The sequence below is a fragment of the Homo sapiens genome, chromosome 12 (genome assembly GCF_000001405.40).
Source record: "Homo sapiens chromosome 12, GRCh38.p14 Primary Assembly".
Classification (NCBI taxonomy): Eukaryota; Metazoa; Chordata; class Mammalia; order Primates; family Hominidae; genus Homo; species Homo sapiens.
Window position 1 is genome coordinate 28,122,634 of NC_000012.12, and position 14,485 is coordinate 28,137,118.

The following is a 14,485-nucleotide window of genomic DNA, read 5'->3' on the forward strand; positions in this document are numbered from 1 at the left end:
GGTGAAGGATATAAAATCAAGGATAAGAGGAATTCTGCTATCAGAAGAGAAGGAAATATTAAAGGGTAGTTGCATAACTTGTGTCAGTAAAGGATGACCTGGTGAACCAATTCAGCTGGGTGGGGTGGTCACTATGATAGTATTTCTATAGACAGACCTTTCAGGGACAAAAGCAGACCCCCCTGCCCCCGCCACTAATTGCCCTTTCCTGACATGGAAATATGGGGAAAGTTTATGTTACCGCCAGTCCATTGGGTTACTTACCTTCTGAGAATAGTGTGACCCTAGTGACAGTATATCGCTCACAAAAGCCTTAATGTTGGCCAAACTGTCATACCACTGCTAACCTCCATCTGATTTCCACCCCCAGAGCACCTCTGAAAGGAAGAGGAGTTCCAAGAAAGTGAGGCAGGGAAGCAGTGGTATGCCTTCTTCCTACTGAGGTAACTACTGATTATAATGAAATAACCTCATTGTTAGATTTGTCTCTCTAATTTTTTTAAATAAACACTACTGGAATTTTTTTTTAACTGTATGACAAAACATATTTATTCAGCAATACTAAGTTGCATTAACTTGGAATGTTGTTTACTTTATTGTTTTTAAAAGAGATCCTTTTAAAAGGTACCCACTGTAAATATTTAATATGCATACAGTATGTAAAGTCTAGTGAAAAGAGGAAACTGTGATCTTGAATTTGGAGTCAGGCAGAGGGCTGCTGCAATATTCCTGTGAATCAGTGTCAAGACAGAAAGCCACACTTCGGCAGCTTTTCCTCAGATTCCTTCTCATGGAGACAATGCCCTTTTAACTATAAAGAAGTGGAAATTCATGTTAAGCTTTTCAACACAATTATTGAAACCTGTAGGTGATACTCCTGGCCTAACTCTGGTTTATAAATTTTGGTTTTATCTTTTTAAGAGCATTTCCTGCTGAGTGTATAGCCTACCAAATAAAAAGTATGTTCATTTTTATGGCACATTTGAATGTTTTCTATTCCTTTCCTCTTCCTTTTGCTCCTCTCGGATAGGTTTGACGTGGTTCCATGTAAAAAATGGGTCAAAATCATGAAGGTCTTTAATTCTTACTGATTTTTTCCATTCCTTAACAACTATAATCAGAGTCAATTTAAACAAATTTTTAAGCTAGGTTGCTTTTTTCTTTCTTCTGAAATATGAAAATCTCCATCCTTACTTAGAGAATTTTCATCGGAGGTACTCCTCTCACGTATTGTACATTATTTCTTTTTATGAAATTTGGAAAACAGCAAAAAAGTCACTGACAACAATAAACCTAAAGATACAAAAAACACAAAATCTTCAAGCATAATTAAGATAAAATTAGACGAGTAAGAAGGTAACATCAAAACAGAAAAGCAGTTTCTACATGAGGCCAAAAAATATTTTTAAAAATAATTAAATACAAAATAATGAAATGAGAAGGGAAGTAAAAAAATATAAAACACATTTGTAAGAAATCAATACAGTTAGTGAATAATAACTCTTAAAAGAGATGTATGCCAGAAGAGGCAGAAATTATAACAGTAGTTCTTTGTGATACCCTATTTCTACGTGTTTTCTGTAAGAATGAGGCTTTAATTATCAAAGGAATGTTTAAAATGAATTACTACATACATGTATTACCTAAAACAGTCTATTGTGAATACCATATATCAATCATTTTATACCTTTGAAGAGTATACTTTGACATCCTCAAAGTGATCAAGAAGAATCAAATTCAAACCCCAGGGTATAAACAGTAAAAAGGAAAGGTCAGGTTGAATTTTTTTTCCCGTGTTTGTAATGGTGAGAGTGGGTTTAATTCTTGATTGAACAAAGTGAGCCTTTATTTTGATAGTTTCTCTTCTTTAGAAAATTGGATGAAAACAGCTGACTTATAGCAGGCGAGAGAATTTCTTGCTGTAAGGAACACACATAATGCTTAATCAAATTTCTCATGGCTTAAGAAGTGCCACAGAATTCTATACAGATAGGGTAGAATGCCAACTGGCTTGGGCACAAAGCTCCTAGCTTTGTTGAAAACATCCACACGCAGTGAAAATATGACATTTCTTTCAATATCTTCCTCTCTCTTTTTCAGTATACTGCAAACATTTTGATTATGGGTTTCACCCCATGGGCTGCCCAATTTACTAATAACATTACAAATACTGTAGTTCTAAATTCCTTGGCTTGTTTTAACTGGCATAACCTGTTTACTCTTCTTCCAAGAAATATTTTATGTCTAACTTTCTTCAAATTCTGATGCATACTGATAACAAAAGGATCTCTAGTACTTTTTGTGTTTCAGATTAGAAAAGAAAAAAAAAGATATTCACACATCATGTATAGTCCAAAATAAGCAAAACTGAAATGCTTCAAGCATCTGGTTTGCTGTAGCTTTCAAAGTGCTCAGCCTTTAAAGGAGACTCCTTTTAAAAGGACCTTAACAATAGAATAAATTAAAGGAATAAAGATTTCTATTATGAGAAAATAAACAACTTTTTAAAAGCATTTACTTTCTTTTGGTTACCATGTACAGTAATTTTTTTTCCCATTCTTATTTAGAAACTAGTGACTAGAAAGTTCTTATTTCAGGTAACTGCAATACTATTTTCTTGGTTAATTAAAACGGTACTCTAGATTAAAAATTGATGATGACATGGTTTGTTAATCTTACACTATGTTTAGCTTTCAACTGAAAAATAATATGCCATTAGTCTTCATTATTACATGGCCCAGAAATAGTAACACAGGTATTTTTTTCCTTTTTTTCAATTTCCAAAATATGTTTCTGTTTTAATTATGAAGCACTTATAAAATTATTTCTTTCATCATATAAAGAAAAAGTTGCAACATCAAATTCAAGATTTAGAGATTTGTCAATTTTTGCAACAAAATATTGAAATAATTGAAATCTAATTGTGTAGATGAAATAAAAATATATAAATGTGTGTTGAGATCCCTTATATGTTTGTTTTTTTTTTAAGCTAATTGCTGCCTTGGTAATTATAGGTACTTCAGATTTAGTTGTTGATCACACTGTTTTTTGTTTCGATTTGTTTCGTTTTTTTTTTTTTCTTTGAGACAGAGTCTTACTCTGTCGCCAGGCTGGAGGTATGCGATCTCAGCTCACTGCAACTTCTGCCTCCTGGGTTCAAGTGATTCTCCCGCCTCAGCCTCCCGAGTAGGTAGGATTACAGGCACGCACCACCACATCCAGCTAATTTTTGTATTTTTAGTAGAGCCAGGGTTTCACCATGTTGGCCAGGATGGTCTCTAACTCCTGACCTCCTGATCTGCCCACCTTGGCCGTGCCTGGCCCACATTGGTTTTTTAAAGGGTTGTGTAACTATGCTGTGATAAGGCATTCCTTTAAGAAGAAAATTATAAAATTTTTAACTTCTAAATATCCTATACATGAATTAGCATCATTAATCACAAAACAAAGATATATTAAATTTCAGTGCTATAATAAAGGTGCTCCTTGTTTATAATTTTCCATTATTCAGAAAAATTTTATGTTACTAGCTTACAAATACCTTGGTAGGAATTTACTTTTGAGCTGGGTATGGTGGCACACACCTGTAGTCCCAGCTACATGGGAGGCTGAGGTAAGAGGATTGCTTGAGCCCAGGAGTTCAAGGTTGCAGTGAGCTATGATAGTATCTCTGCACTCCAGCTGGGGCAACAGAGAAAACCCTATCTAAGAAAAAAAGAAGTTATCTTTGTATCTACCGTAACACATAGACACACAACCTTGTATATAGTGGGTGCTCCATAAGTAACTGTTCTTTGAAAAAATGTAAACCCAGTATCATTTCATGTAAAATGATTTCATGCAAACTTTCCTGTTTGCTTCCCAGAAACAAACAAACAAACAAACAAAAAACAGAAAACATTGTATTGAATAGGTCTGCCTCTGTCTGACCTTATTTCAACCCTGAGTACTTTGTCAGCCTTCAACACAGATTTTTCTCCAACTTCAGTGTTTGTTTGCTAATTAATTCTTTCACATTTGGTGTTTCATTTATTTATGCTAATATACATATTCTCTATTCCTCCTAAGAGACCATTATGCAGATAGGATGATTATCTGATTTATATCAATGATCTAAGGACCAATATCTTTTATTTTCCTCCACTTTAATAGCTCTGGAAAAAAATTTAAAAAGTACCCTCCAGATGTAATAAAGGCAAAATTACATATCTATACCTTTTTCCCCTTAATATCTGATTTTTTTCAGAAATGAGCAAGTGGTTTCAAATGTAGAATAACAAAATTATCTTTTTAAAATATAACAGTCTTCATTCTAAAGGACTCTAGAATTCTAGACTCTAAAATGCACACACATCCAGAATTAAAATTCTATGGTTATGAAAAAGAACTCCAGCATATCCCCACCAACTGCATTTTACAGTACTCTTTGTACCAAAGAAACACGAATTATTGAGAATAACAGTTGGAATGGACCCCGCCTATTCTTGCTTTGACAGTAAGAACAATAACAGTAGCACCTTCATTTTTAAGGAAGTATGAAAGAGTTTTTCCATCAATGTCCATTTTGTTTTTCGTCTATAGAAAAACTGTTTCCATGGAGATTACTGCTTACCTTCTCTCTACTAGTATTTGGCTGAGGTGATTGGCAAGTGCAACGTGTGCTAACAAAAGACATGGAGGTTCAAAGACCTGCCATGTGCATAAAACCCCCTGAAACCTAAGAAGGTAAGGATGGTTGAGTCAGTCAACCATCCTTATCTTCTTAATTAGCTACCCCCTAAAAACAGAACTTTAATAGTTACACACCCGTTTGCCAGCAAGCTGATCTGGTAAAAGCCAATGAGACAGAAAAGGCATTCAGAAGGGGATACACCCATGTCTACGTCCCTCCTCACTCTCTGACTCACTGCTACCTTGGGTATGCCATTAACAATTCTGGGCATCAGGTTGTTCAAATGAAACTTCTAACCAAGGTATTTGCTGACCACCTACCTCACAGAAGTATTGCGAGTCTCAGCTATTAAGCTATTATAAAGCAATCTAAGCACATGAAGTGCTACATAAGCACTAATGGTACTGAGTCAGTGAGGAAAGGGAGCACGCTGTACATTGAATCACCTGCATTGTTTCCTTCTTTCAGTCCTTTGTGGTAATTTCCTAAACAACAAAAAATGTGCCCTTCTAGGATGACTGGGTCTAAGCTTGCTCCTGGAAGGTAACTAAGATGATTGAATTGAAAAGTCACAAAGCTATGGGCCATATTATATTTTCAATTTGGGAAAATAGGTATTTTTGAATTAATAAACTTCATTATTATTATTATTTTTATTATTGAGACAGGGTCTCACTCTGTTGCTCAGGTTGGAATGCAATGGTGTGATTGCCACTGGGACTCCAGGTGTGTACCTGCACACCCTTGCTTATTTTTAAACTGTTTGTAGAGACAGGTCACACTGTATTGCATTGGCTTATCTCAAACTCTTGGGCTCAATCGATCCTCCTGCCTCAGCCTCACAAAGTGCTGGAATTACAGGTGTGAGCCACCATACTCAGCCAATAGACTTTTCAAAGAGTAGCTTTAGGTTTACAGAAAAATCCATCAGGAAGTACAAAAAGTTCTTGTACACACACCCTCCACCCCCACTACTCCCCAAACACAGTTTCCCCTATCATCTTGTATTAGTGTGGTACATTTGTTACAATTGATGGTGTTTAGGACGGGCAACCCCAAAATACAGCATGTTGGCATTTGAGAAAACAGCAGAAGCAGGAAGGTCACTTTTACCCTCCCCTCATCTCTCCCGCCGGAAGCAGGTCAGAAAATCTAGGAAAGTCACTCTCTGACTTTCTCCCGCTCTTCTACCTTCTACCCTGAAGCAGGTCATAAGACCTTCAGGCGAAGGGTGCTCTCTCTAATACCAGAAGAAAAGAACATCCTTATCTCTGATGACCCAGGGATGCAGAGAAAAATATGAACAAACAGACCTTGCTAAGTTCCCCCCAGTTTATTACCATTAGAGCATACCTCCTTTGTCCAATCATACTTTTCCACAACCATCCACCTTGTCTCAAACCTAAGCATAAAAATGCACATTTGCCTGTTCTTTTGGGTCTTCATTTCTGAAGTCTCTTTTATGTAAAACTTAAATAAATATGTATGCTTTTTTCTTGTTAATCTGTCTTTTGTTATAGGTGTCTCAGCCATGAAAAGACTAGAATAAAAATGCTTATTATCCTAATTATCCAGAAAAGAAACAACAAACAGATAGAAATTTATGATGAAAGAATATTCTTCTGGGGAGCAAAAATTATTTCCAGCAAATAAGACAGGAAAAGCCCATAAAACTCTTGTCTGCAAGTGGTGGATGAAAGCCTGAGGTCAAACTGGGGGTGGAAATTTGAAAGACTGGGTCAGAGAAAAAGAAATTTTAAATGAACACTAGAGGAGGGGAATTTTGACAGTAATTAGTATCTTTCAAAAACAAGAGCTTGCAAATGTTTGAACTGTAATTCCATGAAGTCAAAAGGAATCTTTGAGAAAAGAAATGTTCAACCAGCATACTGACTTTCTCATTTGATTAACATTTTTGTTGTACAGAATCACCTAAATCTGCCCAGGGAAAGCCCTTTACATATTTCCCTCCATTAATTATCAGCTTGTGATTTATTGTAACTACCAGTGAAATATGCAGCATTGTGAATGAATAAAAAAGCATTTTTTGCGAGAGTTCTCATTTCTTAATGGGCCCCAGCAAGGAGCTTGCTTTTTTTAAAATAAAAAACAAACTTGAAGGCCCTAATAATGAGATCACATAATAGAAAATAAATATATAAAATACCAGGCTTCACTGAATCTTAAGAAGTCATCAAGTCAGGTCGGGCATGATGGCGTGCACTTATAATCCCAGCACTTTGGAAAGTTGAGGCAGGAGCAGGAGCATTGCCTGAGGCCAGGAGTTCAAGAATGCAGTGAGCTATAATCAAGATTGTCTCCATCTAAAAAAGAGGAAGAAGAAGAAGAAAGAAGAAGAAGAAGTCATCGACTATAAAAAGCTTGCTATCTTATTTATCACTAAAGAGAAAAGTTTTCCAGTTAAAATTTTAAAGAGTATCTTAATTTAGAAAAATTTAAAATATGAAAAAATGTGCTTAGAACTGATGAAATACAGTTTATGGTATAATCTGGAGGAAGAAATACTTGATTCTTTCAGACTTCATTTAGAAATGTACTAAATTGCAGGTGACCTGTTAAATCTTACAATATATAATATTTTCACATATAATCTCCATTAGAGAGGCTTTATTTCTTGCTATTATGTTTTGTTCCAAAAGATAGAAGTTATTTATCAAAAAAATCACCAAGTTGTCTCAATTTTAACCATCTAATTTTGAGATGCTCTTCTTATCAAAAAATTTTTGTATTTTGAATCAGTGTCAGATTGACTTGATTTTTAAGAAGTTACTTGAACTCACTAAGCCTCAATTTCCTGAACTGTAAAAAGTGTATTATAATAGTAATATAATTTTAAGGGATTGTTATGAGAGACAAAAGAGTCATAAGCATTGAATAAATATCAGCTGTCAGTTATCATTTGGCATACAAGAATCAGACTAATTTGAATTATATTTTGAGTCTACCATTTTCTAGTCATAATAATTTGGGCAAATCAAATATCCTCTCTGCCTCATAAATGGTCATAGTGACACTTGTCTTTCAGGTTCTCAGGAGGGTTCAATGAGCTGATAAAATATATCAACTTCCCTATATTATGCCAGCCATATTACGCTGATTAACAAAAAATTTCACAGTAGAAGATGACATTCATTGAGCATTTATTTGCTCAAACTCTTTGACTCCTGTGCTCTTTGACTCATTTAACCTATACGATAATCCTAGGAGGTAGCTACAATTATTATTTCTATTTTACAGATGAGGAAACTGAGGCACAGAGTAGCTAAGTAGTGGTCACAAAGCTTTGGCAGAACTGCTCATTGAGCCCAGGCAGCATGGCCCCAGAATGGCACACAGCTCAAGCCACTTCTTTATTTGCCTTAACTTCACCACTAGGAAGAACACAAGGCAGCCTTATAAAATGAACAAGGCCTTCTGCTAGGCCAAAACATTGGGGGAATAATAATCAAGATATGACTGGTCACCGCAGATATGCTTTCCAGTGGGAGGCAAAGGCAGGACGTAGGACGCGCCGTTAGAGATGGGGGTTGCTCACAGCTCTAGTACTTGGCACGCAGCTAAGGTTGAGTCATTGACAACTTCCTGCACAGCCACATAAGCTGAGGAATAACATGGAAGGTATTTAACAATCTGTATGAACACGTAAACCCTGTGAAATAATGAGCAATCCGTCACTATGTTAACAAAAAGAGAAATAGTTCTAAGCACATTTGAACATTTGTGAAGACAACCATGTTCCAGGATGAAAGGAATGTAATACTTACACTTGGAAATATGTAATAGACAAGTCAAATGAAGTTCAAGGGCAAAACAGATTGACTGAAATGATGTAGGGAAAGGAGAAAATTGAACTGTACGGGCCTCAGAAAATGAGAAGAGAGCTGGTAAGAATGGAGAAAGTATGAAAACTGAAAAACCACTTCAGCTCATGAACTCATCTCCCCCAGTACTTGTAGTGTAGAGTTTTAAGACTTAATTTTTCTTTGTTTCAAGTGTGTTTATGTGGATTCCTAAGTAAGATTGTAAACTCTGCTGACTGATGTGGTGCAGTGGAAAATTCTCTAATTCAGGCCCAGAAGAGAGGAGTCTAAAACCTGGTCGGCCTCCCCAGCCAAATGACCACAGACAAACCATTTACTCAATGTTTCAGTTTCTTCATTAGTGAAATAAAAATATCTACTCAAAATAAGAATGTGTGTGGAAGAAACTTATAAAATATGTCCTGCTATGTAAATATAAGGTATTCAGAGGTGGGTGGAGAAACAGAACAAGAGACTGGAAGAAAAAAAACCTGTAGATCAAAAGATCGAGATGAAGACTTTGCCACTTACTTGCTTCATGACATTGGGCAGAATACAGTGATGCACTTAACCTCTGTGAACTTTAAGATTCCTTATCTACAAAATAGGTTAATAGTACTAACGACTCCAGTGGATTTATGTGCAAGTCACCTCAATTCTGTAAGGTAAGGAGTATCACTCCCTATTTTATAGATAAGGAAACTATGGTATAAGATTTTTTTTCTGTTTGTTATAATGATTCCCATAAAACCTGTAACAGTTCTCTACATGCAACAAAAATAAGTACTTGTTGATTGGTCACTTTATGTACATAGGTATCTTAATGGAAGAGACTATTTATCAAATAGAGAATCTCTTATCCAGCCATGAAGTAGGTGCACACTGTAAGATGCCTTCCTGGGGTGGTTGGCACAGATGATCTCTCAATGTTCCTTTCAGTTATATAATTCTGGGATGTCAAATTGAAACTGAACAAAGAACATAACTGGCAAAAATGAAATTACTGCTTTTCTGGAGACAGTGCTATTTGTCTGAAAATGGTAAAATGTAGATGGGAAGGAGGAAATAACAGGTCTGTGATTCATGATACTAAAAGCTAAGAAAAGGTGGGTTTTCCTTGTGGCTATAAAACAAACAAAAAAGCATATAAACCCAGTGTTTAAATGTTAATTTGCTACAGTACATCAAATGTTTATAGCAAGAATTTGATGGAAGCATCCTATTGAAAAAAACAAATTCTTTCCTATGTCAATGTGCTTATAAAGAGGATACCCAACTGTCTCCAGCAATGCATATTTATGTCTCTGCAGAGAATAACCTGACCTTATTTGCTGCAGTGACCATGAAACAGTGCTTCCATAATGGTAATATGAAATATTTCAGAAGAACAGAAAACCTTGTGGTTTCTTAGATAAAAGAAAATACTACCCTATCTTGCATTTCTCACATTTGCTGCTATGTACTTGGTTTATCTATTAGCCAGTGTACCCAGGGTATTCTGTAACCGGCCTTCAGACTTACTCAATTCTCCACATTTTAAAGCAGAAATTGGAAAGTGAAAAATGGTTCACACATTATCTCATATGTTACAGATTTTAGAGACATTTTGGCAAACAAATTAACTAGGCTTGATTATTCTTCTGAAATAGCGTCCAGGCACAGGACACGTATCTCCTCAACCTTTCTTTCTCTAAACGCACTTTTATCCACTTCAAAGTCATTTTATACTGCAGCGTAAGTCAGAAAGGAAAAAAGAACTCACAAAATGTCATAGTATTCCATTTTACAAGCTGTAATAACTAGGCTGTTCTGTAAAATGTCTGGTCAGGAAAAAGGCTGAAACTACTAACTAAAGTGAGGGCTGAGCTTCTTTTGAGAATTAGAATTCCTTGTGCTTTTCCAAGTCCTAGATGACATAGATAACGGAAAATTAATTTTAATTCTAATGATATGCTTAAATTGGCAAAGATCGGTAGTCATTATGGACTGGTTTTTGTTCATGACTTAATTTTGCCATTCTAAACCTCTGAGCAGGATTTAAAATACTTAATACAGCACTCCCCAGGCTCTGGTGTTTACCTTACTTCAAAAATCCATTTTTCATGATTTCACTTTTCTTCCACAGACAGAAGTTAAGTAAGAGGCTTTGGGTCAAGACTGTGACTGGATTCAAATCCTAAAGTTTTCGCTACACTGTGTGCTGTGGGTAAGTTATTAATCCCCTCTGTAAAATGGAGATGATATATCACAAGGCTGTTGCCTTATGAGTAAGTGAGGATTAAATGAGATAGTATACGTAAAGTGCTCTAAACAGTGTTCAGAAGAATTTTAGCTTTTAATAAATGTTAGCTCTTACTTTTCCATCCAGATGAAAGTATATGAATATTTAGATATTTTTCTAGTCAATGCCAAATACTTTTGTGCTTTCTTATTTCTGAGTTATAATAAAAGTTGGCCTGTTACAACTATGTAAAATTTCCCAAAGGAAATATGTGAAATTATACATGCAAAATAAAAATGCTTTAATTGCTGGGGTTTTTTTTATTCTAAAGTTTTTTGTAACTCTATAAAGCATGCCTTCAAAACTCATAAATAGGAGAGTTTGGAGTTGATTTTGTCAGTGGTGAGGAGGAAAGACATTTAGAACAAAATAGAATTTTTGACTTGAAAAGGACTTTAGGTATGTAACTGTAACATTGATGCTATCACCTACTAGCTTTCAGAACTTGAGCAAGTTACTGAACTCTTTGCGCCTTAGTTAATGGTGATATTATTAGCACCAAACACATGATGCCACTATAAAGATTAAATGAGTTAATGCATTTAAGTGTAGAACAGTGCCTGACATCTCTAACGAGTTCTCATTAAATGTTAGCAACTATTATTAATTCATTATTGTTATTTTACAAATGACAATATCAACGTCAAGGAAGGAAGTTCGTTTCCCAAGGTCATATTTTAGATTTAATGGTAAGGAGCAGGATCCAGGGCTTCTGACTCTCAGTCTACTGCTCTTTCCACTCTAACACCAATTTCTTCTTCATCTTGGCCTTGCCTCTAGATTTGCTTCAGTTCTTTAACCCTGGATATGAGTTTGTTTTATTCATCAATGGCCTGGATAGTGAAGATGTGAGGTCTAGTCATTGGTCTTTATGGTTGGTAGTGTAGAAAGATTAACTTTTGACAGTGAAAGGGTTAAGTTTTATGTGAGATAGAACCTGAAATTTGTGTTCAGTTACTATCTATGGCCTTTTCTCTGCTTAATAATTAGATACTAAAAAATCTGCAACAAAGAGATGAAGATTAAGAAAAATTGTCAAGAAGGAAGGAAAATTGTACCTACCCCTCGAAGAATTCATGAGGTGCTTGAGCAGACTACTTTGACCTCTTCTCAAACCTGCTAAGTGTGGACACACAATAAAAGCACTTTTGGTGCAGATAAACTGGAGAAGGGGCCTGTTTGTATAGTTTTCTTTGAGGAAATATTCCCTGCAGGAAGTATGCAGCAAAGAGAAAGGCTCATATGACAGAATATGTTAAAGCACATTTTCTTTTTATCTCTTTGCACATCCCCACTTTGCCACCCACTTTAGCCCCTACCTACTCAATCTCCTATGTCACAATTCCAGGTGCACTCATCAGCATGCAAAAATCACATATGAGGTGGATATATTTTCAGATGAAGATGGATAAATCAAATCTGCAAATGGATAATGACATGGGCAAGTCATCAATTTACACTTGTAAACAACTTTTCAGCTAGACCTTGGGAACAAGGAACATGATATTCTGTCTACAAACTCATGTGGCTTTCTTATTTGAAAGTTTTTTGAAAGATTTTTGGTTTTGTTTTGAGGAAATTTTCTGAATCTATTTTGAATGTTAGAATTTGGGCATTTGCTAAAAGGAAGTTGCTTGAGCTTGGATGTTTGTGCTAAGATTTCTTTAGGGACAGCTTCTCCAACTTTTTCACCAAAGTCGTCCTAACCACAGCTGAGAGGGAATACCAAGGAATGGGGACAGAACCTGAAAAGGTCAGCCAGAAGCAGCATTTTTGTTTTCATGTTTCATGTATGTATAGCACAGGAGTTAAGAACCTCTTGAAGAAAAATCATCTGATCTTGAATTCCTGTTCCACTGCTTACTAGCTGGGTGACCTTGAACAAATAGTCTTTCCCCTACTTCAAATATTTTATCTGTTAAGTGGTGATGATCATAGTACCCTCTTCATAGGGCTCTTGTGAGGGTGGATTGAATGAGTTAATTCATGTGCAGTACTCACAACAGGATCTAGCATATAGTGAGCATGCAGTAAACGCTAGCTCTGATTATGTTGAAGATAATCACTTGCGTTCTTGCTGTGATATACTCTGATTTGTTTAAAATAAAAATAAAGGATCTCTACTCCCCCCAAATCATCAAGTAATTTATCCATTTATTCAGGAAGAATATATTAAGGGCATATTGAGGACCTACACTGTGGTAGGCATTGTGAGAGACACAAAGATAAGTAAAACATACAGTCAGTGCTCAGAGAACTTAAGGTTTTTGAAAGGAAATGCATGAAGTTGAGAATGGTCTCAGTAACAAAACTAAATATTTACTGATCAAGTACATGTATGAAGATTTATGTAAATTAGCTAGGTTCTAAACAATCTTGCAAGGTTGATGTTATTTTCACCCTTCAACAGCTGTAGAAACAGAGGTCCAGGAGGGTCAGGTAACATAAAAGAGCAGGGATTTGAACCCACATCTGTCTGAATTCACAGTCCATGACTTTTCTGCTTCACCTCCATAATTTCAATCTGTTAAATTTGTGGTCTTGGTGTGGAAGCTGGAAGCTCCAGATAATGACTGGTAACCAAGGAGGGGCAGAAATGTGAAAAACTGTGTAGGAATGTTTAGAAAATAAGAGGAAAAAAGATATCAAAGAAAACACAGATAATTGGATCCAGACTGGAGAGCCTAGGCCTGGGCAAGGACAATGGGGAGAAATGGGTGTCTTCTCTTGTGCCAGCTCTGCTTGGGGGTTGCTGCTGGGAACCCTAGGTAGAGCAGCCATATTGGTCACCAGGACCCAATGGGAAAGGGCTTTGTCCTATCAGCAATGTCTTCTGCAGGCACAGAAGAGGGGAGTGGTGGCGCGGTATCTGCAAGCCCCAGCCTAGGGTAAACAGTGAGCCAGAAAAGCAATTAAAGCAGAAACAGATGAGGATAATTAGAAGGGACAGCTCTGAAGGGTAGGAGGAGGCAGTGAAACTAAAACAGAGAATTTTAGCTATTTCTGTCAATCCCTTGATGTCTGGAAAAACATTCTTTTTGGTCCAGACTATGGTACCACACCCTAAATAAGACCGAAACCATTCTCAGCACTGTACCCCTAGTTTGGATTCAATGGCATCTCCTGGATTCTGCTAGCAAAGTGGCCTGAACAGGACACAGGCCTATGGATATCTCCATTTGGATGTCCTGCAGGAACCTCAAACTCGACTTCATCACAATTGAATTCATCATCTTTCTTATAAAAGCCTGCTCCTTTCTCAGTGTTTGCCATCACAATTTAACAGTCCCAAATCCATTCAGTCATCTAAATTAGAAATGAGCTCTTAGTTTTTAATGATAAAATGCTTCCCTCAAGCTTTCTGTTTCTGTTCTGTACTACTCATTCCATTCGCTATTCAAATTGTCAAATGAGTCAATTCTTTGAAGGAAGGTATGTCATTGTCATTATGGAGAAAAAGGACATTGTTGTCCCTTAGAGTCCCAAAGAAAGCCCAGGGAAGCCTTTGAAGCCAGTCTTAGGGTTGTCAAGATTAGCTCCCATCACCCTAGAGCAATCTAGGAAGAAACACTGGAAAAGAGAGTCATAAAAATTGAAGGCATCCAAAAAGTAGAATGGAAAGGAACTGAAAAAACCTTTTTCTACTTTGTTATTCTGCTTGGAGAAGTTCCTTTTAAGGAAATGTGCATAGAGCTTTTGAACACTGGCTAG

General features: G+C 36.3%; 2 long non-coding RNA genes across 4 annotated transcripts in view, besides 3 other annotated features; one reads left to right on the plus strand and one right to left on the minus strand.

The window, feature by feature from the left end:
- Positions 1 to 6,941, minus strand: part of LOC105369710 (uncharacterized) — a 66,878-nt gene extending 59,937 nt beyond the window's left edge. For all 3 annotated transcript variants that reach the window (XR_931461.3, XR_931462.3, XR_931463.2), the window contains exon 1: positions 6,840 to 6,941. This is a non-coding gene — a long non-coding RNA (uncharacterized LOC105369710). The remainder of the gene's footprint in view (positions 1 to 6,839) is intronic.
- LOC107984462 (uncharacterized) lies at positions 368 to 11,941 on the plus strand. The gene is made up of 3 exons (XR_001749450.2): positions 368 to 443; positions 10,619 to 10,699; positions 11,765 to 11,941. It is a non-coding gene; the product is annotated as an uncharacterized LOC107984462 (long non-coding RNA).
- Positions 7,660 to 8,859: an enhancer, noted in NCBI's record as "BRD4-independent group 4 enhancer chr12:28283226-28284425 (GRCh37/hg19 assembly coordinates)". NCBI's record gives its function as "activates an origin of replication core promoter dependent on BRD2, P300/CBP, MED14 and CDK7 cofactors, and independent of BRD4, by STARR-seq in HCT116 cells {active_cell/tissue: HCT116}" and the evidence as "EXISTENCE:reporter gene assay evidence [ECO:0000049][PMID:35650434]".
- Positions 13,552 to 13,721: an enhancer, noted in NCBI's record as "experimental_27297 CRE fragment used in MPRA reporter constructs". NCBI's record gives its function as "activates a minimal promoter by MPRAs in K562 erythroleukemia cells, with activity observed for both the introgressed and non-introgressed 12:28289203 or rs11049363 variant alleles {active_cell/tissue: K562}" and the evidence as "EXISTENCE:reporter gene assay evidence [ECO:0000049][PMID:34662402]".
- Position 13,637: a transcriptional cis regulatory region, noted in NCBI's record as "Neanderthal adaptively introgressed variant 12:28289203 (GRCh37/hg19 assembly coordinates) or rs11049363 in the experimental_27297 CRE". NCBI's record gives its function as "modulates activity of the experimental_27297 enhancer by MPRAs in K562 erythroleukemia cells {active_cell/tissue: K562}" and the evidence as "EXISTENCE:reporter gene assay evidence [ECO:0000049][PMID:34662402]".